Source organism: Homo sapiens, chromosome 2 (assembly GCF_000001405.40).
Source record: "Homo sapiens chromosome 2, GRCh38.p14 Primary Assembly".
NCBI classification, from domain to species: domain Eukaryota; kingdom Metazoa; phylum Chordata; class Mammalia; order Primates; family Hominidae; genus Homo; species Homo sapiens.
Genome location: NC_000002.12, coordinates 140,220,516 through 140,248,396, shown reverse-complemented (window position 1 = coordinate 140,248,396; position 27,881 = coordinate 140,220,516). Strand labels below are relative to the sequence as shown.

Below are 27,881 nucleotides of genomic sequence, written 5' to 3'. Positions count from 1 at the left end.
GCTCCATATTCATAGTTTTAAATTTATCATTTATTAATTAAATAACTCTTATCTAATAGTGTCCTTATTGCCAATTGTGTTCAAGTCTATATATGCTTCTTTGAAACATATTTTCATGTTTATTATTTGACTTTGTCAGTAATAATGATTTTATGAGAATTTGCCCATGTTTTAGGACAGCCAATACTGATTTTACGACTATCACAAATAATTCGTATAGCATCGTAGAAGCTTAGCTCAGGAAGCAGCCTCAGATATCAAAATTGGCTATGCCCGAATTGGCAGAGACACTGAAATTGCAGTTATTTAGTTTGGCCCACCATGCCCAGAGTTCCACTTGGAATGGCTCTGGAAGCTGTTTTTTTATTGTGTACAACTATTCTTGATATGGTGGTATTTGACAGTCATTTTAACTACGAACTGAAGCCAATTAAATTGTTTCTCTGTGGATTTCCTGTGACAGATGCACAAAGGCATCTTATGTTAGCCAATAGACCTTGTTTAAACACAACTAAAACTGTTCCAGCATTTATTTTTATGCAACCAGCTAATTTCATAGTTGCACTTTATGTTTAAATAATGGCTTTTAATCAGATCTATTATTCTTGTCTTTTACTTCTTATCATAGTGTTATAGTACTTACATGGGAAAAACAACTTCTCCCAATAAAAACTTGGGCACATTCTCTTGACTTCATAGTAATAGAAGTATGATTTAAAATGGGAAAGCTCTGTATTTTGTTATCTCTGCTTAGGAGAGTAAAAACTCCACAGCTTGAACTATAAGACAGATGACTATTTGCTGTTTGGTAGTTAGTTCCACTCTGGACTTAGAACAACCAGAAAAAGACACAGATACTTACAGAAGGATTTGCTTAATATGCAAACTCAATTTTTGTAAGTGGCCACTTGTAATTTTCCATAACTCTCAAATCAATTTCCAATTCTTAATCAAGATTTCAATATCGCTATAAAATGTGCCAATTTTAACACAGAATAAGTAAAATGTCTATAAATCTACATTTTAAAAAGTATTTTAACAAAGGAAGTCCAATGAAAGTTACACTCAGCATACTAACAATATGCAAGAGATCATCAGAAATCTCTATGTAATATTTATGAATTTGTGATGACTGGCTCCTGTAACCTTTCATTTGGTTAAAGTTACTACATTAGCTGACTTCTGGGCTTTGTTATTCGCTGATCTGTTTTGTTTGTTGTTTGGATATTTTTAGATGCTCCACCAACTGGTCAGGCACACAGTGTGAAAGGCCAGCCCCAAAGAGCAGCAAGTCTGATCATATCAGCACAAGTAAGTTTCTCAGATTAATATTTTGGGTAATCTACACTGTATATAAATCATTGTTATGTCATTATTGAGTGAGATGAGTCTTAGAACACTTTCTTCATGGAATTTTATAAGAGATCCACTGCAATTGAGGTGTTTTTGAAAGAGGAAGCACTGAGCTTTCATCTAATTACAGGATCCAGTGTGTACATTTTCTTTTAGGCTGGGAGAGTTTATCCCAAATTTGGGGAGTTTTCAGAATGCACATCTGCTAACCTAGCATAAGCTTTTCTTTGGAAATATTCATCAGCTGAAAAAGTCGCAGATATCACAATGGATGTGAAAATGCTCCAGGAAGAAAAATAATTCCATGTTTTAATTAGAGCAAAGTGTATTGTCTTGGAATGCATTTCAATGTGTCTTGGGGGGAGAAAGACAGACTTTATTGGTTAGTCTGAAAGAGAAGCAAGTTAACAAGCAATTCTTAATAAAGATATAAGTTGATTTATTGCTTCTTTATCTTTAAAGTATTGGTTTTGAAGTATATTAAAATATAGATCAACATTTTTGCAAATTTTTTTTTGTGCAGCCATAGTCTTAGGGTCACTTGTGTCTATATCATCGTTGTGGGTCTATATCATCGTTGTGTGTCTGTGTACAGTTTCTGACAACCTGAAATGATGTTATAAAGTTTTTCAAAATAAAAGTCTGAAATAAAGTTTGCCAGTTCACACATGTTGTCATTAATTTGACCATGAGTGAAAAACCTTTGAAAAATTTGTATTGTCTATTGGGTGTAAATAAACTTGCAAAGAAAAAATAACATCCTTGATGGAAGATTGCTTACCTTAGCAATTTTTCCCTAGTCCTTTACTGCTGGTGACAAGGATTTCATAAAAACAAGCAAAAAGCATAGTGTTTCAGAGTTAGTGAAAAAGGAGAGAGACTATTAAAGTATAAAATATAACATTTTTGTACCCTAGAAGCAGGCTTCCCATCTCTGCTGACATTCCTGTTTGTTGTCTCTGCCCCCAGACAGTTTCGATATCATTGTCCAATTTTTCCTAATTTAGAGATTAATTTGGGTTTATTAATAAGCCTAGGCATCTTTGAAAAATGGAAAATAGGTCTAGAATAGACAGTCTGGGCATGAATATTTAAATTTGGATAGGTGAGGTGAGTGATTTTTGGTTATGGAACATTTTGAGTTGATCTTAGAATTTGTGTGCTCTCCTTAGGTCAGGGAAGGGTGAGGCCATAGGGAAGCTATGAGCATATAATTGTAGGAATAGGACACTGGGATTTGGGGAATTGGTTGATAAAAGGTTAACAGTGGCAAAATGTGTCTTGCCTAATTTGATATGCAAAAGAAAAAGAAAAAATACTTTATCTCTCTTCCCAAGATTTAGGGCTCAAACTAATGCTACCAGTAATAACTCTGGAGGCATATTAATTTATATATGATTTTATAAACTATTTGCAAAACTCAACAATCGTTAAAAGCATTAATAAAAAAATGCATTTGAAGTTATCAAGCTGTAGAACATGCTCCATTTATAAATTAGGAATTAAAAAGATATTTTAGCCTTTTTAATGGTAGTTTCTCAATGATCGAATATAAAGAAAACAGCCTTTTTAGAGCATCAAAAACAATTTAAAAAATTTTTTAAAACTCTGACAAGAAATAGCATAGACTGTGTATGAAATTTGGAAATTTTGTATACGCTCCATCCACAAAGGGAAAGTTTGGTGTTTGGAAAATGGTTTGGAGCTGGAATGCTCCAGGTGTTCCCGTTAGAGAGTGGGGTCTCCAACGATTTGTATGGGCAAATGTAAGAAACTGGTTTTAATTACATGCAACAGTTCTAAAGTAAAGAACATCAAATAGGGGAAAGAGTTGCAAATAGTTGTAACCCTTTCCAATGATTCTGAAGCTCTTTCTCCCATCACTAATTTAAAGTCATGAAATTTAATAGAACTATCAATGCATTTTGAAAGGGCTATTAGCTACATATATGTCAAATTATCACAAACTTGATCAAAGTTGACCAAATAATGACTCTATTAGATGCTTATTATCAGACATTTATGCTTCGAGAAACTTGCCTCAGTAGCTCTGAAAGAAGGGAAAAGGTAGTTAAACTGACCTTTCCCATGAAAGAGGATTACTTTTATTATTTTGGGTAAAATCTAGTGGTTTTGAATGATTGTCAAACCTTCCCCAAACTTGAGCAGAAGTCGTCTGCCCAATAAGAACGATGAAACTTTAGGAATGTGTTTTCAAATCTGCATTTCTATCATCAGTGGACCTCTGTTGGCATAGTCCAGAATACACTGCCTCTGTCTGCCTAATTACTATCAATTTATACAGAGATTTACTTTTCTGATTTGTACATGGCCTTCATAATCATCTCTGAATAGTGGTAGTGATGTTCACCGGCTTTTGATGTTTAAAGTATCTAAAAGCAGCTTGTGGAATTAGGCAGATCTATTATCTAGGGCTTTGTGCTCAGGTTCCATTTTAAAAATCTAGTCTGACTCTTCTGAAGATATTTTGAAGAGTTTTAAACTCAGCATAATAAAATATTCATTGCATACTTCTATTTTAAATTTACATAAAATTTTAAAATTTACATAAAATTGAGCATTGAATGATCAGTGTTTCAATTATGTTATTTGTTGTATCCGCTGAAATTATGAAAGACAAAAATATACTCAGCATTGGTGGTGCAGTAATGTAGAGATGCTGTATTTTACTATAGTGACAATAGGGGCAAGATATCTGTTAGGGGGTCATTGTATCTCTTTTGCTACTTTGTCTTTATCATTTTGTATCATCCATTATGTTTTAATACAGAAAAAAACTGGTTATATTATACCAGGAATTATAAATCTGCAAATATAGAGATGTAACTGAAAAACACAACAAAATAATGTTTTATTTCCATTTCTCCCAAAGCAAAGGTTTATCAAGTCTCTGCTAAGTGTCAAGTACTGCACTAGATCCCAGAGGCAGGTCAGTGAGGAAGGCAGACAGTGCTTCTTCTCATGAAGCTGAGGTTCTAATGGAGTAAACAGCAATAAAACAAGGAAGTAAATAAAAAAGGAAATATTCAAATGTATAAAGTAATTGTGAGTTTTGATTGGTCCGTGAAGGAAGCAAAAACAAAAAAGATAAAAAGGGCAAAGATAGAGAATGTCACAGGAAAAGTGAGGCCAGGAGTGTTTTCTCTGAGGTGGTGATACTTCAGCTGAGACTTGAGGCTCAAGGTACAAGAATAAAGAACAGCAGGTACAACAACCGTGGAGCAAGAAAGAGTTAGACATGTCCAGCAGACTGAAAGAAGACCAGTGTGCTGGTATCAAGAGAACAAGGGGGAGAGTGGTACAAAGTGAAGTTAGAGATACAGGACCAAGGTGATAGGCAGCCTCTTGAAGACCACTGGAAGGATCACCTTTACTAAGTTGGGAACATATTTTCTTTACAATTTTTAACATTACAATGTACCAAAATGCTTAAGAGAAAGGATGCTAATTTCAACAAATATATATACTCTACATTTATACATATCTATAAACAAACTTAAGAACAGGGTATAGAGCAACATGTCAAAGGCAGTCATTTTAATTATATAACTTATGCTAATATTGTTCTATTGAAAATTTGATCAGTAAATAAAATGTTCTCTTCCTCTGAACTTCATGATAGTGAACACTTCTGGTTTCTCTTCTACCTCTTTTGAAGCAACTCTGTCTTCCTTTTGACATTATTTTCTTTCTATTCTGCTTGATTAATTTACCTGTTTATCACTAGATACACTCTCCTTGCCAGGACATAATCCTTGACATGAGTTATCAACTCTGTTGATTCCCCAAAATTCCTATGCTCAATATTGATTTATCTCCTAAGTTTGAGACATGTATTTCACTGCTTGCTTGATATATCTGTATCTGTGTCATCTATATTCCACAGGGATCTCAAGCTCAGTTCCCAAATGATCTCATCACTGCCCCCTATCCACAGTCATTTTCATATACCTTATTTTGCCTTTCTGTCCATCCATATGGATGGCTGAAAAGTGGTGATACTTCCGCTGAGACTTGAGCCAATCCACCTGGCTATGGAAACAACACTTAAGTTCCATCCTTAAACTTCTCTCTCTTTCCTAAGTTGAATCAAACAATAAATTCAGTAGATGTTCCTTCCTAAATTTTCTTCAACATCATCCTTTTAAAAAGAAAAAAATAGTACAATTGCCCATCTGATTTATATGGCTTACACACTCCTTCATAATCTCACCTCTGCTTTCCACTGCAGTCACATCTCCTTCCAGCCCAACTGTTTTTCCTTAATCGTAATCCTCTTGGCCTTTAAAGTCTCTTCACTGACAACAGAGGATTTGCTCCTTAAGCCTCAGAGACAAACTAGTCTCCTTCCACCCCAGATCTAGTTGGAGGCACCTCCTTTATATTCCCAGAACAATGCAAACTTTCCTAATACAGCATTCATGCTACTATAGTGAATGAACCCATTTATTTGTTATTCTGTTATACATCAAGCAATATAAGAGAAGGGTCATTTTATCCTCAGTGCAAAATAGAGTATATTTTCAGGGTCTGGAGCACAGCAAGCACTTAAGATATATTTGCTAAATAAGAATTGAATTTATAGACCCTATGACATCCTAAGGACTGCACTATTTGCAGAACAAGGAGAAACAGATTGTGCCCTCAAATATCTCAAAAACAAACTGATGCATTATATTGTGAAAAGTGCAGAATAGAAGCTTGTACAGAGTGCTATGAGAACATGTGTTTTGTTCATTAAGCATGTATGTAGTATTTTCTGATTGGCATAATCCTATCTATAATACTGTATGATAACTATTAATGATGATACCCATATTATAGATGAGTAAATTGAGACAAATATAATTAATGTGCCTGAGCATATGTTGGTAATGAATAGTAAAACAGATTTGAATAGAGGTAGCCTGGCTCCATTATCTCAACTGCTATGCTGTACTAGCTCTCCTATGGAAAGGGGCTCTTCAACACAGCACTTATAGTTCTTTCTTCTAATGGAAAAATGTTGCATGATGAGGTTTCAGAACCATGTTGCAAAAAAAGACTTGCTCTATTTTTTTTATGAGAAACTTGTTGAGATATCCCCTCCACCCTTAATAAGTACAGAGTCTATGTTTTTCAGTTTCTAATACTCTATTAACAATGTACTGTTAAAACATGACCTGCAATAGGGATTGATCATTGTATTTACAGTATGAAATTTACTGTCATATATAATACTAGGGAAAAAGTACTTATTTTTATAATATCTGTTAATTTTAAAAATACCTGTGTTTCCAGCAATAAAAACTATTTTATAAAATTTTAAAAAAACTTGCTAATCTTCTACCCTGCATTATTTATCAGTGACACTAGGTTTTATAGTAGTTACTTTGATTGGTTACATAAACATATCAGAAGTCTAGGCTCTTAAACACAAAATGCTGTAATATATGGGATTGCAACTGCCATCTATGAAGGGAAAAAAAGAAACCTTTTATTTTCTAGCATACTTAATTAACAGCTTCCTACCTCATAGGAATGTCAAACTGTAGAACAAGTAAAATCTATTTTTAAAAAATGATTTATAATTGCATTGAGAGAAAATAAATTTTATATACCCTAAAACTATATTGATAGGTATTTTACACCCACCAATTTTATACAAATTTTAGAGGAAAATGAAGTAGATATATTTGTAAAATCATGATCAAGCAGTTGAAGTCATAGTTTTTGAAGAAACCAAGCTGTTCTCTGGTATTTAAAACTTGTGAACAAGTGTTAATTACCATCCAAGCTGCCAGATTCTCTTTCATTAATTGCTAATAAATTACAGCTGCTAATAAATTACAGATGCATATAAAGTTCACTTTCCCAAAACAAAGGAGGTAATATAGTAATATCAAACACCATAAGTTCTCATAACTACATGAAAAAACAAAATGACTTTTACATTTTAGAAAGTGTCTGAAGAAGTGGATAGAAGAGATGGTTGGTTATTTTACACGAGTTATTTCTCGAAGTTCTAAATTAGAGATTTATCTTATACATGAAATTTTCTTAATGAAGCCTTTTTGGTATTTGGCAAGTGGTCCAGTATGGATTATCTCACCCAGATATCCTCTGGCTATAAAGCCCTTAAAACATATCTATATATTTATAATACAGTTCTAAGTGGCTGGTTATTGTGCATATCACCATTAATTTCTACCTTGATACTTTCACATGCACATGTATTTGCCTGAAAAATTCATAGACTTTCAGAATTTTTAATGTTCTATTCTTAATCCATTCAAGATCTCCATGTTCAATTTTAACTAGTTGTTGGGCTGCTTGGTTTCTTAGGTTAACCAGTGATTAAGTTGACTTGTCAACCAGAGGTTTATTCAAAGTAGATAAAAGCCTTTGTTTCATGTGTACTAGATATTTTTCAGTAAGAAAAGTTAATATTAGCTATGTCATACTTTCCTGTTATCAGGCAACCCTGTATTCAGTTTTCTTCTTATAATAAGTGATATTTGGGTGTATTCTCCTGTGGGTCACATTATTAGCAATGGGCTATTATTGTCTGCCTACTCACTGACTAAAAATATCGATTACCCTATTGCTAATCTAGTATATACATAGAAAACCAAGTCTCCTCCATTTTGCCTCCTCCCTGTGCTCAGATGCATAAAAACAAAGACCAAATTTCACTGATCATTTTTGAAGATCTATTCTGTTAGTGCTAGTACCCAAGACCTTTCTCATATATGGAAGAAAGGAAAATAATTGACATTTGCCACATAAGCCAAACTCCTAAAATATGTCTTGCTAAAACTGTTCAGAAACTAGAACATGAGAAAGAGAACCTCTTCACCCCCTAATTCTGTGGAATCAAGCTAACTGCCCTTTGTGGTAAGTCTTCTTCTCTGTGTTTTACAGTTGAAGAGCATGAGCCTCAAAGCATTTAAATAACCTACATAAGGTCTCACTTCAAGTAAGTTGTGAAACCAATATTTACACCAAGATTCCATCCAAATCAAACACTGATACCCCTTTTGTTTCACCAGGCTGCCACCTAACTTGTCACATGGACCCCTGACCAGAAAGTATGGATGACTAAAGGAACAAAACTAAGGGTGGGAATGTGGTCAGTGAAACTGTGTAAATGTTTATTCAGTCTTAGTTGATTTAAAAAGAGGTACTAGCAGGTACTTGCATCATTGCTAGTAAATGTGTGTGATGGGAATCACTAAACACAGATCAACAAAAAAGTCAGATCTCTAATCTCAAGGTATTTAAATGCAACACATAAATGAAAGATATCTAAGGAAACATTTCCATCAGATCAAGTGTTTAAGAGAAGAATGATTTTCCAATAACATAATTATGAACCCGAAATATAAACATTTGGGCTAAGCTTTTATTATATCAATGGTCAAGTGATTTGGTATAATAAAGTACTTAGTTTTATCAATTTTTACTTCATTTTATTTATTTCTTCATCTATTCACTCATTTATTTTCCAGGAAGCATTGCCATCATTGTGCCTCTCGTCCTCTTGGTGACTTTGATAACCACCTTAGTAATTGGTTTAGTGCTTTGTAAAAGAAAAAGAAGGTAAGATGCAATGTTCTAGATTAGCAGTCAGTGAATAAATCACACAACTAGGTGCAGAAACATAATGTTTGTTGTTAATTTTTTTAAACATGATTTAGTTATGCCAACTGTAAAATACAATGTTTTTCAAATCATTTTATACCTCTCTTTTAAGTGATTATAATTTAGACAAGTCTTCTCCCATGTTATGTTAAGGGAATGGTCCATGTATATATTCTAGCAAAACTGACAAGAGATCATATTATTCAAAAGTTAAGTAGGATTTTACATTTGCAGTTATCTTTCCTTGAAACAGCAAGGGTCTCTGAGGAGCATCTTTTTATATTAATGTGTATGATTAGTAATGTCAATACAGTGATACTGATATGCATATATACATCTCCAATTTGTACATTTCTTTCACAAATAGTGCATTGATTCACTTATACCTCATTAGAAGTATCATTTCAATTTATATGAAAATGAACTTATAGATCTAGAAGACTAGGTTGTCTACAGAAAGACAAGAGCCATGTGTGCTCACTTACAAATGGACGTGAAATAATGTCCATTATTACTGACATAGAGTGTAGGGTGATAACTATTGGAGATTTAGAAGGGCGGGAAATGAAAGTGGGGTGGTTGATGAGAAATTACCTAATGGGTACAGCGTACATTATTTGGGTGATGGACATACTAAAAGCCCAGGCTTCAACACTATGCAATATAACCACGTAACAAACTTGCACTTGTACAAAATAAGCTTAAAAACCAAGAGCTTTTGAGTCAGTATTTGACTTATGTAAAACAGGATTCTAACCATGTAACTTGGGGATTGAAAACAATCTTAGAGTTTATCACTATTTTGTTGTGATAGTTTTCAGAAAGGAGAAAAAATAGAATTTAAAAAGATTGGTAAATATTCAATTTCAAATGATGTCATTTCGGCTATTTAGGAGGTATTTATTTCCAGTGTGTTTTTATTAAGTCAAAACAACTGGGAAAACAGCCTATCAATGTACTACTTTTTGTTCCTCTGTTACTTGACAAATGTCATTTATTCAATTTATTTCAAAATAAGTCAGTAAATCTATAAATATAATTTCATATGCCTTGATTGTGATATTTATACAAAACTCACACATATTAATGTTTATATATTCTAGGACAAAAACAATTAGAAGACAACCTATTATCAATGGAGGAATAAATGTAGAAATTGGCAATCCATCTTATAACATGTATGAGGTAGATCATGATCACAACGATGGAGGTCTTTTAGATCCTGGCTTTATGATAGACCCAACAAAGGTAGTATGTCTTAAGATAATGGGCAGTGAGCACTAACATTCTTGAGTCGCATCTCTGTTTTATGGTTCTGAATTTCACCAAGTTTTTCTGTTATCTGAAGTTAGAATAAGGGACTTTAGGATGTATTGAATGATATAGCCTCTTCTAAAGAGAAAGTACAATTATGGACTGCATTCACCTGAAGCTGAGTGTAACACATCTTAGAAAACACATATTTATTTGCTCAGTTCTTTTATAAACATGTTTTTATATGTTTTTTATTGAAAAATGATTCATTATCTAATTTTGTTTACATAAAGCAAACGAAAAACTCATTTAAAAATTGTTTTAGTATTGATATCACACAGCAAATTGTTTAGGTCTTCTTCAGGGGATAGATAGATATATAGATAGATAAAGGTCTATTATAAAGTAAAGCTACTGACTTTCAATGTTGAAATATATGCAAGGAGAAGACCAATACATGCACAGCTTCTAGAAATATGGCTGAAAAGTAGTTTGGTGAGACATTTTCTTTTCTACCCACTTCCTCCCAGTATTCCTTACAGTGTGGTTCTATGGGGTTTTGGTTTGGTAGGAACTGGATACTTACAAGATAGTTTTGTTTTCATCACTTCAGACATGGAATCCTTCTTTTAATGTTTTTTGTTTTAATTGATACATAATAAGTAGGAAATCAGTACATTGAAGAGATATCTGTACTTCCATGATTTTTACAGCATTATTCACAATAGCCAAGATATAGAATCAACCTAAGTGTGCATCAACAATGAATAAAGAAAATGCTATTCAGCCATAAAAAAGAAGGAAATCCTGTCATTTGAGGCAACATGGATAAAGCTGGATGATATTGTCATATATGAAATAATCCAGGCACAGAATGACAAATACCACATGATCTCACTCACATGTGAATCTATAGAAGTTAATATTGAAGTAGAGAGTAGAATAGTGGTTACTAGAGGGTGGAGAGGGGAGGAGGAAGGAAAATAGGTGTTGTTCAATGGGTACAAAGTCACAGTCAGATAAGAGGAATGGGTTTTGGTGTTCTGTTGCACAGTTAGGTGATGGTGGTTAACAATATTGTATTGTATATTTAAAAATAGCTAGAAAAGGATTTTTAATGTTCTCGCCACAAAAAAATAACTATGTATGAGGTGATAGATATGCTAAATACTTTGATTTTTTCTGCAATGTATACATGTATAAAAACATAACAAAACACAGTATCTCATAAATATGTATAATTCATGTAAAATAATGCTCTAATCAAATGTGTTGAGGTATTAGCAAATCTAGATACACAGCTTAGTGTAAAAATCTTGGTCAGTGTATTTTTTAAATATAAAAGAGTACAGTACTTTATTATCAAAATAAGTATGTTGTTTCCAATAATGTTTAAATGATGAGCCAGATAAGCTGTGTCCTTGGACTTCTTTGTAATTAAATCACTTTTGAGAAATATTTTTCTATCTGTCATAATATCCTTACTAGTTTAAAACATTTCATTGATACATATAGCCTGACAATCCACAGCCTTTTAAATTTAAAAATATTTGTTAGTTTTTATTACTATAAGCTGAGGTTGGCAACTTTTAAGGGAAATAGCTAAATGATACAATTATCCAGTTAAAGTTGTGAAGATTTACTTCAGTGAATTATCTGAATATTCTTTCTGATAATTTTAGAATATTTTTTCTCTAAATTAAGAGTATCAATTTAGTATTATGAAACAATTTTTCTTGGTTTATTCACTTATTTATTGAATAGTTATTTATTTTTCTGACTTACAAAAGTTACTTCATCAAAATGCACTTTTACATTGTAAATATCCAATGTGGCCAATCTACATTCAAATTATTTTGCAATCACAGTCATTGGTGTTCCTGAAGAATCTGAATAGGATCCCACATATTCAGTCTAGTTCTGAACCCATGATTAGGCTTTCTAAGCCTAAAATTGATGCTCAACTATTCACTTCTATGAAAATCAATCTTTTCACATGGATACATTGTGTACTATCAGAGAATATTATATTTTTCTAATTAGACATAATTTTATAGTTATTAAAATTCACTCCTACATCTGAAATTTTTCAAGGAAAAAGTCTTGGTAACCTTACATTTGATATTTTCTGCTTTAAAATATCACAGAAGTGGAGACATGATACATATTTTACACATTGCTATTGATAATCTATTATATCTATGAAGGAGAAAGACAAATAATAGAGTTCTGAAATTCTTTGCATTTTTCTTAGGAATAAAAATATAGTATTCATACATATAACAGACTAATGACGATATACTTTACACATTTTTCATATGAAGGAGGGTTATTTTTTCCTCATCATTTTTATTTCTAGTGATAGAATTAATCCAATTTTGTACACTTAAAGAGAATAGCTTTTTACACATTCAAAAATTTTCACATTTACTCTAGGAAGATAAAACTATGTTTCAGTGCCCCCAAATATATTTTAATGTACTTAGAACATAATACTCAAATATTTACCAATTGGATGACTGAATAACCAAAATTGCATCAAATATGACTTAGATGACTGATTCTATCTGGATCCTGATATTTGAATATAAATGTGAATTGTTGTCAAATGAGTAACTACAGAAAAAAACAGCTAGTTCTAATAGGTTTAGACAGTAGTGAGAAACAAAGGGCCATATTGAAGCAACCTTAATAATCATATGAATTTTATAGAGCATTCACTTTGTTACAAGCGTTTGATATATGCATGGTGCAATCAGTATAAATTACATTACATGTGAAGAAAAATTTTGTAGAACACTCATTTCTGTTATTCTCAAAGAGGGTAAAATTTCTAGTTCAATGGTATCTTATAATCAAAAGGATTGAAAGTACTTAATGCAGTTAATAAAATTGATTTGACTATGGGGGTAACCACAGAACAGTTTGAAGAGTTTAAAAGAGATAAATATGTACTAGTTTTATCTTCAAATTCATGCCAATTCTTACTTGGACTATTCTTTATATTTTCTGAATAAGACTTTTGTGAGAGAAATGTCTACCTATGAAGCAAAGATCCAATATTAATATTGGATCTTTAATAATATTAATATTGGATATTTTAAGTTGTTTTAAGTTGTTAAAGCTAACATGAACACACTGTAAATGGTGTAAGGCTAAAGGGTATTTTTATGTTATTTTTATGAATTAACATGATATGTATCGATGAAAAGTGATTCTATAATATTAGATCAGAAACTAAAATTTTCTGTTTATATACAGGCCAGGTACATAGGGGGAGGACCCAGTGCTTTCAAGCTTCCACACACAGCGCCGCCCATCTACCTAAACTCTGATTTGAAAGGACCACTAACTGCTGGGGTGAGAGAAGAATATTCGTTATTTCATGTCCGTTTCATCACAGAACCCTCACAATCAAAGACTAATTACTAGACTTAGAGGCTTGTTTTTAATTAAGTTTTTAATTAACAAGAGATTTCAAAATAGCATTTAAATTGGGGGCTTATGTTATGTGTCCTGTCTATGCAAGATTACATCTAAAACATTATTTTAGGCAAGCCATTAAGTAGAAATATCTCTTCTACTGGATTTGGAAATGTTATTGTCCCTTTACAGTGAACATGAGTATTTGTTATTCTTAGCAAAGAAGCTCTAGCCAGAAATTAAAACTGAATAAACTTTTGATTTTATTCATTTCCTCTCATAGTGGTTTATTTAATATATACAAATTTGACGTGCAGTTAAATAGACTATACTTTAAAATGTGTCATCATATTGAGAAATTACAGACGGTCTAACAAAACCACTCTCAAAAACATGTTTCAATTAAGTAACTGGTGTTTAGAGAAAGCTGTTCTGTCTAAAGTTACATAGTTCATTTTAAGCAGAAGAGGAATAAAAATATGCATTATCAAGATTCCTAGGGATGAGAATTCTCTCCCTTATCGTCTTTCCCATCAACTGTTTTCATCCTCATTTTCTATCATGTTTGTCTCAATTGCATGGCTCAAAGATTATAATGTTTCCTTGTTGTAACTAAGATTTAATGTACTGTTTTTGGAAAGACGAAACAAAAAATAAGGAAAACAAACACTAGGCAAAATTTTCTTGGGATAAACTGCAATTTGTTAAATAGTGAACATTGTATGTATATGTTTTCCAACTCAAAGAGGTCAGCTGCTGCATGCCTCTAATTCTACTTCAAAATGCTATGTTTGTGAAACTTAAGATGACTGTGTACATCACAATTCTTTGAAAAAGTCCAAAAATATTTCTAATAAGTACACACAGGTTGTTTGAGGCAAAAATATTGCTTTAAAAATCTGATACACTAATGCATTTCTTTACATTTTTGTTTACTTGTTTTTAAGTTCATGTTGAAAAATTATAAGCACCAAACAAATGTTTTTCTGAAAACACATCTTACTTGCCACGGATAGGCTTGTAATAGCAATAAGGGGGACAACACAAAAACTGAAAACATGACAATTTAGTTTCACATTTTATGCTTTTATAATAAAGTCTCAGTGAACATAGCTTTTACAAAGATTTTTTTCTGGCTTTTTGTATATGGCAAAGCTCCTCTTAGGTTCACAAGTTACTTGCAAAATGTAAAATTATGTTTCATTTAATACCATGCTTGAGTTGAGTAAAGTCTGTAAATGTAACATGTAAATAACCTTTAAATCATTACTATTTAATAAATTAAATGTATTGCATATAAATATTGTTACGATTAGGAGATGGACATTCTAGGAAGTAAATAATTAATGTGGCCAAGACCAGTAATAAAATTATATTTATTTTTTTTCTCCTTCAGCCAACAAATTACTCCAATCCGGTATATGCAAAATTATATATGGATGGGCAAAACTGTCGAAACTCCTTAGGAAGTGTTGATGAAAGGAAAGAACTGCTTCCAAAGAAAATAGAAATTGGTATAAGAGAGACAGTGGCATAATCAGTGATATCTTTTATATGCTGTATAAATGTATAAAATATAAGGATTACTTTTGTATGTTCCAACAGTATTATACTTGTTTTGGCATCAGCATTACCTCTTTCTTTATCTTTTTCCTGGTTAATTGTTTTCTGAGTTTTTTGGGTTTTATTTTTTGCTGATGACTATTGATTGACCATTTGTATGGTATTTTTATGAAAAAGAACTGCACTACAGTACAATTTACAACAATGCTGCTGATATGACACACCTTTGAATTTGTTAAAATTAAAAACAACGTATTCCTTTGTAGTGTGAATATGAGCAATCTATTTTATATGAACTTTTTTGGTTGTACTTAATCAACGAGGAGAATCTCTGCACTTTTCCATTATACGGTTTGAAGGCTGTAATACAGTGTCATATTATTTTTCTGTTTAAATTGATGGAAAAATGATTGAATGGTCAACTCTCTTCTTTGTGCCCATAAAGATCGATTCAGACTCTGCTGAAAATATATAGCTCTCACAAGTTCAGCATCACCTGCTTTGAAATTAGCCTTAGATTGCCAACCAATAGATGAGAATTTTGAGGAAAAAAATTAAAAATATGTAAAATTAATAATTTGCATGAACACAGATGACTACATTTTCCAAAACTTAGTGGACTCTATGTGATGTACTAAATGTATACACCTTGTAAGCAATAGTTATATTTAGGTGGTAGAACATAGCAAAAATATAACCGAAAGTTGGCCGACTGCACTTGCTATGGAATAAGACCTTTTATTCTCCCTCAGTCTCGAGATAAATAGCCAGCCTAGAGCACAACAGGGCATTGGGTACTTGCATCTTAGGTATTTCTTCCCAGTCACATCCATTTTGTGGAAGATTAACCCAACCCCTTACACTACACTGAACACTAAAGAATAATATATAAGCACACAAATTGGTGACAGAATTTCAATTACGTGAACGCATCCTCTTTGCTAGGTCAAAAAACAAAGGGCAAAGCAGACATTTTAGTATACAGAGTGATTGGCAAATATTTTCAAGATTTAATATGAGCAACCCATTATTTGCCCTATCCAAAATATATTCAAGGGCCTTCCAAGTTGTAGAAGAACAATGATCTTCCCATAATCAAAAGTGGAGAGTCGAAATGCTGTGCCAGTTGCTCTGGTATTCAGGTTTCTCTGGGTTTTACAGAACGCATGGACCCCATTCACGTTTGGTTTGTTTATCTTCAAATTTGAGTTGAAACGAGTGCGATTTATTTAAGTTGTATATAAAAATAAAAGGATAGCATTTTTATACAAATATCTTTAAAGGCACAAAAGATTTATTCACAAGTTTTGGAGGGCTTTTTGTTCCTCTGATAGACATGACTGACTTTTAGCTGTCATAATGTATTAACCTAACAGATGAAATATGTTAAATATGTGGTTGCTCTTTATCCCTTTGTACAAGCATTAAAAAAACTGCTGTTTTATAAGAAGACTTTTTGTTGTACTATGTGCATGCATACTACCTATTTCTAAACTTTGCCATATTGAGGCCTTTATAAACTATTGATTTATGTAATACTAGTGCAATTTTGCTTGAACAATGTTATGCATATCATAAACTTTTTCAGGTTCTTGTTTAAGTACATTTTTTAAATTGAACAGTATTTTTCATTTTGGTTATAATATAGTCATTTTGCCTATGTTTCTACAATGAAGTGTTAAATACTTTATAAAAAATTGTTGACTGACTTATTTAAATGAAATTCTACATATTTAAGAGCTTGTGTTGGGTAGTTTTTAAAAATAAGAAAATTCCTTTATGTAGCTTAAATATTCTGAGAGAACTGTTTTAGTAAACACGGCATTTTTATATCCTTAGAACATAATACACTCCAGGGGAAAACTGATTTCATTGTATCATCTTTCAATGCACAGTAGAGAAGGCATTTTCTGTCTTCATGGAGTAGAAACACTCCCCTTACTTTATCCTTTTCCCTGCCTTCCTGTGCCTGTCAGAGTCTCCATATTGCAATAGAAAGAAAGGTTCTATACACAGTAGCATGACAACCATGCTAAACAAGCCAAAGCTCTTCCTGTCCCTTTCTATTCCCCAAAACTGTACTTTATGGAAAATCAGATTTCCATTAGACGCTATTTCCACATTATTTTGTTAGAATGGTTATTTGCTATACCTACTTTTAGCATCAGACTAGAGATGGAAAATATAGGTGCGTCTGATTTACTTAACATTGAGTTATATTATTTGAAGGGGCCTTCTGATGTCAGAGCTGTGTAAATGCAACTGAAAATATTTCAAAGAACCCACAGAGTGGTGTGATATTAATACAGTTAACATTAGTATAAATATCTAGCAAATAATATATGATATGCAACCTACTGCCAGTTGGGACCTGACATTGATGACCTACTCTCACTAGGGCCCTAGTGAAAACAATAGTCAACAAAGCTTAGAATGTGTTTTTTTTAACCCTGGGGCCCTGCAGCTACTTTAGATGATAAATATATATTTTCAACTACTTAAAGTTAATTTAATCTGTTTCCATAGCTCTATTGTGTTCTATTCCAATTTTCTATTGCAAAAATTTTTATAAATGCTAGAAATTCAAGTTTATAATTCTCTTTCAAAGTCACAATTCTTTATAAATGCCATCAAAAAATGCTTTCTAAACTATTGCTTCAAGCTTTGATGGGAGATATTTTATAAATATTAATGTTTCTTGATGAACTTGCTTCTCTACCCAAATGCCTTCTTATCTAGAGCAATGAGTTTCAACTTTTTGGCATTTTATCAAGTAATTATTTGTTTTCCTTTATGGGGAAGGATATTTAGAACCATCATTTCCTTCTATCCATTTCAGTAACGCCAGTACTACTACCTAAAGTTGACACAAACAAATGTCTATAAACATTGCCAAATGTCTTCTGGGGAACAAAATTGTCCCTGATCAGAACTACTGATCTAGAGGCACTTTCTGTCCCCTGTTATTAGATTACTCTCAGCTGGAACAACAACCACCACCACAAAGGCCCCTGCTCAAAAAAATCATGGTATCCCCAAGTTTTGATTTTAATTCTTTAGTGTCGACGATGAATGAGTTATAGAAGTTTGGTATTCATGTAGTGCCTATGTAGTAAACAGTCAAAAGCTATGACTAAGGGGAAAAGTTTCATTTGGAAACTTTTACAATTTTGTATAAAATAAGTCATTTGTTTATGTAAATGTGTTTTATCTGTGTCCATTTCAGTATCAGTGATTGGTTTTATTTTGTTTTGTGTTTTATCATTTGCTTATTTTGTTAGTTTTTGAATTTCAAGCCTGCGCTTTTCTTCTAAGAATGTTACTTTCCATTTTTATGATGGCTGAGGTATGAAGAAAGTTCAATCCTAAATACATGTTATGGCTATTATAAATGTACTGCAATATACAAAATGCCTACAATTTCCAAATCTCAGAAAACTAGTATATGTGATGAAAGAAATTGAAAAAATATTGCTGATTTTTCTTTATTCTCCCTCATTGCTATATCTTCAAACACATCCTTTGGATACAAAATCTTATTCCTCTGAGAATACTAATATTGTATACAGATTAAACTTCATGTAGTTTGATTTAAAAGATTAAAATATAAGAGAATAAGAATTCTGTGAGCTAAGCAAAATATAGCTAACTACTTTTTAAAAGCAGTTTTATCTTACACTCCATTCCAGTTTTCATCAGTTTCTTTAACGATGACTTTTCTCAATACTAGATACACTAAAATTTAATGTATACTAAGAGTTATTAATCATTAGTTAAATATGACGCTTTAATTGCAACTTGCAAGAAAGGGAGAGACTCAAGCACTCCTTATGAAGTTTTTAGGGCGATCTGGCACAAAAATTTCCCCCATGTATTTTGAATCTGAGGAAAAAGAGCCAAAAAATGGTTTATTTTTCAATTCTGCTACCACATCTATTGCTAGCTTAACACATCTAGAAAGATAAGTCCCGAAAAAGACAAAGACAATTAAAAAATATAGGGAAGCAGTTTTATTCAGAAAGACATTTTGTTTCTGATGTTATCATATCCAAAGGCCCAACAATGTTTTCTTCATACAGTGCTATGCAAGTATCTAGTGTATAGAAAGAAAAATAGATGAAATGGATTTTTTGGTTTGGCTTTTCTCTAGCAGACGTTATACTTATGTGGCTGCAATTTATTCTGAAAAATAGTTTCTAGTGAATCCCATCTTTTTTTGTACTCAAAGTGATCAAGAATCAAAAGAAAAATTGGTACTAAAGATGGACTATTTGATAAATTCTATGCTTAGAATGTATTCATTTTCTCTGATGGATAATCTGTCCCTTTAGAATGGGGTTTGTAAGATATTGTTGAACTAAAGCAATGCAATTCTGATACTTCAGTCATTTGTTCACTCCAAGATAATTTTTCAGCTGTGGTTTCTTCTGCAGTTTTAATACATAAATTATGCGCCTCCTGGTTCAATTTGATTTCCAGCTTGCTTATGCAATAGTGGCCTGGAGAGCCAATGATATGACTCTTCTAGCCTTTGATAGTGAAACCATACACATCTTACTTGGATCAGGAATCTAGTCATTTATAAGTGAGAAAATACTTCTTTCACACACAGAATAAACTGTGAAATATACTAAAGAATACCTTTAGGAGTTTGAATAATAAAGTTTTCTATGGAGATACATAATACATATATTATATATGGAATATATATATATTTATATATATGGAATATATATATATTTATATATATGGAATATATATATATTTATATATATGGAATATATATATATTTATATATATGGAATATATATATATTTATATATATGGAATATATATATATTTTTATATATGGAATATATATATATTTTTATATATGGAATATATATATATTTATATATGAATATATATATTTATATATATATTTATATATATGGAATATATATATTTATATATATATTTATATATATGGAATATATATATTTATATATGGAATATATATATTTATATATATGGAATATATATATTTATATATGGAATATATATATTTATATATATGGTATATATTTATATATGGAATATATATTTTTATATATGGAATATATATTTTTATATATGGAATATATACATATTTATATATGTGGAATATATATATTTTTATATATGGAATATATATATTTTTATATATGGAATATATATATTTTTATATATGGAATTATATATATATGGAATATAAGTTTAGATTGACTTAACATGTCTGAACAGATAATGTAAAATTTAGGTAAGAAATAACTGGACAGTGAGATTTATACCTAGAATAACTTTTACCTTTAGTTTTTCTCTTTTTACAACTTATTGCTCTTTTTACTGTACGATTTATCCATTCTTATTTTTTTTTACTTTGAGCAAATTATTTTATGAATAGATTTCACTAAAAGTACTTATCAAAAGCCTATATCTGCAGTGTGTTTGCTGAGCTTTCACATATATGTAAATGTTACAATCTACAATTGTCAGTTATGGCTGTGGAAATTTATTTAAACACACAACTACACACACACACACACACACACACACACACTCACATTCTCACACACTGACTTTGATATGCCATTAATTGTGAAGATAGCATTTCTTTCCTAGGATTTAATGTTTATGTTCTGTGGCTTTGAAGTTCAGAAAACATTACCCTTATACATAATGGTAGCTAATACCTAATTTTGTATTCCTTATTATAAGATCATCATATCTTCCCTAATTTGCATCTCTTTTTTTTAATCCAAAGTGACATTACAGGAAGCCAATGTTACTGTTACATTATTTTATCATAACCTGTATTTTTATTGTAAAAATTGTCATTTTTGAAAACTTAGAAAATATACATAAAGAAGAGAGAAAAATTACCACTATATTAGAAAACTAGAGAGAGAGTTAACACTTCAGAGTATTTTCTTTCTTTGTTTTAGGGTCATGCTTTAATTTTTCTATCCTGCTTTTAAAATATAATATTAAAATATTTGGTTTTATATCTTCCTTGTGCATTTATTATTTTTATTCAGTTTGTTTGTTTATACTATATAGATGCTATATTGTTTGGTTTTATTTTTCTCTTTTGATTTGATAGTTATTTTTTCTGCTGGTAAGTACTTTCAACTTAAAAAGTATTCTAGTAACAGGATCCAGAATTTAAAAATAAGTATTTCCACCCCTTAAAATGAGAACTTTAACATTCTTAAATTCCCTAATTTAACTCACCTCCATGGCCTTTGTTGATATAGTTTGTATTTTTATTTTTAAACTATTTCAATCAAAGTATTATTTTTCTATTCTTTATCTTCTTTTCCTTATTTGGGAAAAATTTTAAATTATTTTTACATTTAGTATTTATTTTTTACAACTTATAGCTCTTTACTGCATGATTTCTCCATTCTTGATTTTTTTTATTTTGACTAAATTCTTATTTTATGAGTAGATTTCATAAAGAGTACTTATCAAAAGACTTTACCTGCAGTATATTTGCTAAGTTTTCACATATATACAAATATTTCTCTAAGGCCTTCAAATAGAAATGTCAGCTCAGTTGGATGCACATTTCTAAAGCTATAACCTTTTCCTCCAAAATTAGGTTGAACTTGGCCCACTGCTTTCAGACATTCAATGTTGTCAGGGATAAGTCTGAGGCCAAGTGTATCTTTATTTTTTTGTATCATTTTTCCTCAGGCTTAAAACAAAACAACTAGTTATAATTAAAATATTTTGACAAAAATGCACAAATCTTTTTTTATTAATTTTGTCTACCCACCAGAATATACTTTCAGCTGAGATCTATTTTCCTTAAGATGCTCTTCATTACTTCTGTCCAAATTTTCCTTAAATATACACAAACACCTACAATTCTTAGGTTAGGTCATTTTTTTTCCTTTATAATCTATATCATCTTAATTTTTTTCCTCACCACTCCCATTTATTCTTGAATAAATTTTCAAGGTTCTGGCATGCATTACTGACTTACTTTTTCCCCTGTATACTCAATTTCTTTCTTGTGTATGCATATGTGAGCATGTGTGTGCACACGTGCAAGCACCTCAGGGATGAATTTTAATTCAGTGCATATAGAGTCCTTCCTTATCTTACTCAGCTTTAAAACTTTTTTAAAACTCAGTTGTTTATTCTCCTGTGGTGTGTATTTTCTTCTCAGAGTTTTCTGCTGAGGTTTCTACTATTTGTTTCCTTTTTCCTATTCATAATACCAACCAGTTTTCAAAAGTTATCTTTTGGCAACATTCCTGTAAGTCTACAGAATGGTGTTCTCATTTCTTTGTTTTATGTAATTTAAAAAAAAAAAAAAAAACAGTCCATGGGGCTCTTCATTTTTTCTTTTCTGTTTACTAATGCTGAATTAGAAAATGCTGTAGTTCTAGAGCTGTTTAGCAGATAGGATGTGCAATGTTTTCTTTGTTCTCATTTTCTGTCAATTTGATGCCTTTTTATTACACTTTCTAGGTTTATAACTCCTGATCCTTTTCGCCTTCACATATGCTACTGGGTCTGTGCTAGAATCCATTATGATTATTCTCTCTTATTTCAATGTATTTCTTTAGATAATGAAACAAAGAACTACATAAAAATCTCAGGGCTCCTGTAATCCATACCTGCCTGCCACCCCTGAATCTGGCCCAATGTTGTGGCATAACCTTCAGCATATACAACAGGACAGCACCAGGCTTCTCAGTGCTTCAGCAGCCCTTCCCTTTCTTGAAAACTGTCCCAGATGTCTGCTATATTTTCCAGACGTACCCTTTTCTGAAGGACTGTGAAGCTTGGCTCGGGGCAGTGCTCTGCTCCCATCTAGAAGCACTGACTATTCGGTAGAAGAATGGCTGCCTACTTCTTTTCTCGTTCTTTTAGTCAATACTAAAGATCCTTGATATTACATAGTACATAACATCATTCACCATACATAGTACATTCAGTCAAAAAAATCCCTGCCAACATGGATATCCCCCACCAATTTTTGTTCTCTTAATCTATCAACCTTCGAGAAATTATCATCCCACTTGGGAGTACTACCTTCCTCGCTCCAGGCTCATAACACTTGGGGGTTACTATACTGAAACTATACCTGGCATCTGGTTCTTACCTCAAGGCCATACAGTTAAGATCACCCACACTTTCCCTTTAAATAAGGCATATCAATGGACTAGAGACTATCACTCTATTAACCAGTCATGGGAGCATGATCATGAATTTGGTATTTTTAACTTTTAGGAATGCTATCACTCACCATTGCAGAAGGCCTGGTCCCCTCTGAATCAGCTGTAGACGAACTCGGATTGGATTTCTGCCAAATCAATTGTAGAAGCTGAGCTTATATTGAATATTCTAACCTCGCATAACAACCATAAGATGTTAATTCATGCTTGAAGGACATAATAATCAATAGACACATATGCACAATCACCTACCCTTATTTTCAAGAACTATTTATGATTTAACTCACAACCCCCCCCAACATCTCTGACTTTATCATGGACATAGGTAAATATGCACTTGTGAAAACCCCAAGAGACTAAAATGCAACCCAGTCAGAGCCCAAAAAAGTTATATTTTAATCATGAATATCCCAACAACTACCCCTTGATTGATATAAAATTTTCCCAAAAATCTCAAGATATCTACCAAATAAGCCTCCATATCTAATAAATACAGTAACTAGATTTTCACCCTAATACTAGTATAATGCCTTGAATATAACCCTTTGAAAGCACTACCCTAGTGCATGACACTCTAAATCAACTATTCCCTAATATAAGAAACCCCCTTCAATTAAGTTTCTACCAATTCAACTTTAAATTCCCTTGAATTACCGTAATTGCAAATGACTACTTACATTTATCTCTTTCCCATTATACTTAAATTTTATACTCAACTATTTATGCAGTTAATGTAGCTTAATTATTCAAAGCAAGACACTGAAAATGTCTAGATGGGTCTGCACAACCCCATAAACAAATCAGTTTCGTCTTGGCTTTTCTATTAACTCTAAGTAAGATTACACATGCAAGCATCCTCATCCCAGTGAAAATGCCCTCTAGATCACCTGAATCAAAAGTATCAAGCACACACAAATGCAAATATCTAGCATGCACAAATGCAACTCAGAACACTTTGTTCAACCACACCCCCACAGGAAACAGCAGTGATAAATCTTTAGCAATAAACAAACATTTAACTAAGCTATACTAATATTTAGGGTTGGTCAATTTCGTGCCAGCCACCGTGATCATACGATTAACCCAAGCTAATAGATTTCGGCGTAAAGAGTGTTTAAGATCTATTTTCAATAAAGCTAAACTCCATCTAAGTTGTAAAAAACTCCAGCTGAAATAAAATATTACGAAAGTGGCTTTAATATTCTGAAGACACAACAGCTAAGACCCAAACTGAGATTAGATATCCCATCATGCTTAGCCCTAAACTATAATAGTTAAATTAACAAAATTATTTGCCGGAATACTACAAGCAAGAACTTAAAATTAAAAGGACTTGGCGGTGCTTTATATCCCTCTAGAGGGGCCTGTTCTATAATCCGTAAACCCCGATACACCTCACCACCTCTTGCCCCACAGCCCATATACCACCATCGTCAGCAAACCCTAGAAAGGTTGCAGAGTAAGCACAAGTATATTCATAAAAATTTTAGGTCAAGGTGTAGCCTACGAGGTGGCAAGAAATGGGCTACATTTTCTATACCCGAAAAATCTCACAACAACCCTTATGCAATCTAAAGGCTTAAGGAGGATTTAGCAGTAAACAAAGAGCAGAGTGCTTGGTTGAATAAGGCCATGAAGCACACAGACACAACCCTGTCACCCTCCTCAAATATTATTCTAGAAACTAATATTACTAACGCTCTCTATCCATATATAGAGGAGATAAGTCGCAACATGCATGGTAAGTGTACTGGAAAGTGCGCTTGGATAAATCAAAGCGTAGCTTAACTCAAAGCATCCAGCTTACACCCCGAAGATTTCATCACAACTCGATCACTTTGAGCCAACTCTAACCCCAAATCTCTCTAAAACTACTAACAAATTATCTTAACTAAATATTTACCCAAACAAAAGTATAGGCGATAGAAATTTTACCCTGGCGCAATAGACTTAGTACCATAAGGGAAAGAGGAAAGAACTAAATCAAGCACAAAAAAGCAAAGATAAACCCTTATACCTTCTGCATAATGTATTAACTAGAAATACCTTTACTTAGAGAACCAAAGCCAAGTCCCCCGAAACCAGACGAGCTACCCAAGAACAGCTGAAAGAGCACACCCACCTATGTGGCAAAACGGGAGGAATATTCGTGAGCAGCGGTGGTAAGCCTACCAAGCCTGGTGATAGCTGATTATCAAAGATAGAATCTTAGTTCAACTTTAAACTTACTCAGAGAATTACTTAATCTCCCTGTAAGTTTAACTGTTAGTCTAAAGAGGGGCTGCTCTTTAGACTCTAGGAAACAACCTTCCTACAGCGAGTAAAAAATATTACCACTATAGTTGGCCCAAAAGCAGCCACCAATTACGAAAGTGTTCAAGCTCAACATCTGACCACCCTAAATCCTACTCACAATACTGAACTCCTTATATCACATTGGACTAATCTATTACTCAACAGAAGCAATAATGTTAATATAAGTAACATGAAGTGATTCTCCTCTGCATAAGCTTATATCAGACTGGAATAATCCACTAACAGTTAGACTAATATTAATAAATGATTTAATAAATACCTTATTATTTATCCTCTTAATCCAATGCAGGTATGGTCCAAGGAAAGATTACAAAGAGTAAAAGGAACTCAGCAAATCTTCCATCGCCTGTTTACCAAAAATATCATCTATAGCATTACCAGTATTAGAGGCACTGCCTGCCCAGTGACATATGTTCAATGGCCACAGTATCCTGACCGTGTAAAGATAGCATAATCACTTGTTCTTTCATTAGGGACTTGTATGAATGGCCACATGAGGGTTCATCTCTCTCTTACTTTTCATCAGTGAAATTCACCTATCCGTGAAGAGGCAGATATACACAAATAAGACGAGAAGACCCTATGGAGCTTAAATTTATTAACGCAAACAAAAACTCAAAATAAGCCTAGAGGAGATAATCTACTATCCCTGAATTAAAAATTTTGGTTGGAGTAGCCTTGGAGCATAATTCAACCTTTGAACAACCTAAACTAACACCACACCAGCCTTTGCGAACTAACATATATTGTTGCAATAACTTAATCAATGGAATAAGTTACCTTAGGGATAACAGCACAATCCTATTCTAGAATCCATATCGACAACAGGATTTACAACTTTGATGTTGGATCAGGACATCCTAATGGTGTAGCCGCTATTAAGCGTTCATTTGATTAAAGTCCTACATGATCTGAGTTCAGACTGGAGTGATCCAGGTCGGTTTCTATCTACTGAACATTTCTCCTAGTGCGAAAGGACAAGAGAAATAGGGCCCATTTCATAAAGTGCCTTCACCACATAGATGATTTTATCTCAATCTAATAAATCATTACAGGCCCTACCCAAGAACAAGGTTTGCTAAGATGGCAGAGCCCGGCAATTGCATAAAACTTAAAACTTTATAATCTGAGGTTCAACTCCTCTTAACATACCTATAATTAACCTTCTCCTACTTATTGTCCCCACTCTAATCGCTATAGCATTCCTTACACTCTTTGAATGAAAAATCTTAGGCTATATACAACTACGCAAAGGACATAACATCATGGGCCCCTATGGACTGCTCCACCATTCGCTGATGCAATAAAACTTTTTACCAAAGAACCATTATGGCCCTCAACATCTAATATTACCCTCTATATTATTGCTCCAACCCTGGCCCTCTCCTTTTGTGAACCCCCCTGCCTATACCAGATCCCCTAATTTAGGCCTATTTATATTAGCCACATCAAGCTTAGCTGTCTATTCTATTTTATGGTCAGAATGAGCATCCAATTCAAATTATGCACTAATAGGCACATTACGAGCTGTAGCCCAGACAATTTCATATGAGGTCACCCTAGCCATTATTCTGTTATCAGTTCTACTAATAAGTGGCTCACTTAACTTGTACAAACTCATCACAACACAAGAATTTCTCTGACTGCTCCTATCATCATGGCCCCTAGCCATAATATGATTTACCTCTACACTAGCAGAAACTAACCGAGCCCCTTTTGATTTAACAGAAGGGGAGTCAGAATTAGTCTCAGATTTCAACTTCAAATATGCTGCAGGTTCATTTGCCTTCTTTATAGCAGAGTACATGAATATTATCATAATAAATACCCTAACTACAATTTTCCCCAAGAGCACTACACACTATATATTCACCAGAACTCTAATCCACAAGTCTCATTAGCAAAACCCTCCTTTTTAACTTCTCTATTTTTATGAATTCAAACAGCATATCCCTGATTCTGCTACGACCAACTCATACATCTCCTATGAAAAAATTTCATATCACTAACACTAGCATTCTGCATATATCTCAATGCCTATTCTAATTTACAGCATCCCACTTTAAACATAAGAAATTATGTCTGATAAAAGAATTACTTTGATAAATAATAAATTCC

At 32.6% G+C, this 27,881-nt stretch overlaps 1 protein-coding gene and 1 pseudogene across 3 annotated transcripts in view; both read left to right on the top strand.

The window, feature by feature from the left end:
- Positions 1-16,974, top strand: part of LRP1B (LDL receptor related protein 1B) — a 1,899,594-nt gene extending 1,882,620 nt beyond the window's left edge. For all 3 annotated transcript variants that reach the window (NM_018557.3, XM_017004341.2, XM_017004342.1), the window contains 5 exons: positions 1,235-1,311; positions 8,865-8,955; positions 10,101-10,245; positions 13,513-13,611; positions 15,071-16,974. In NM_018557.3, the coding sequence (NP_061027.2) occupies positions 1,235-1,311; positions 8,865-8,955; positions 10,101-10,245; positions 13,513-13,611; positions 15,071-15,211 (553 nt within the window). In that variant the 3' untranslated portion in view covers positions 15,212-16,974. The remainder of the gene's footprint in view (positions 1-1,234; positions 1,312-8,864; positions 8,956-10,100; positions 10,246-13,512; positions 13,612-15,070) is intronic.
- On the top strand, positions 26,924-27,834 carry MTND1P27 (MT-ND1 pseudogene 27; annotated as a pseudogene).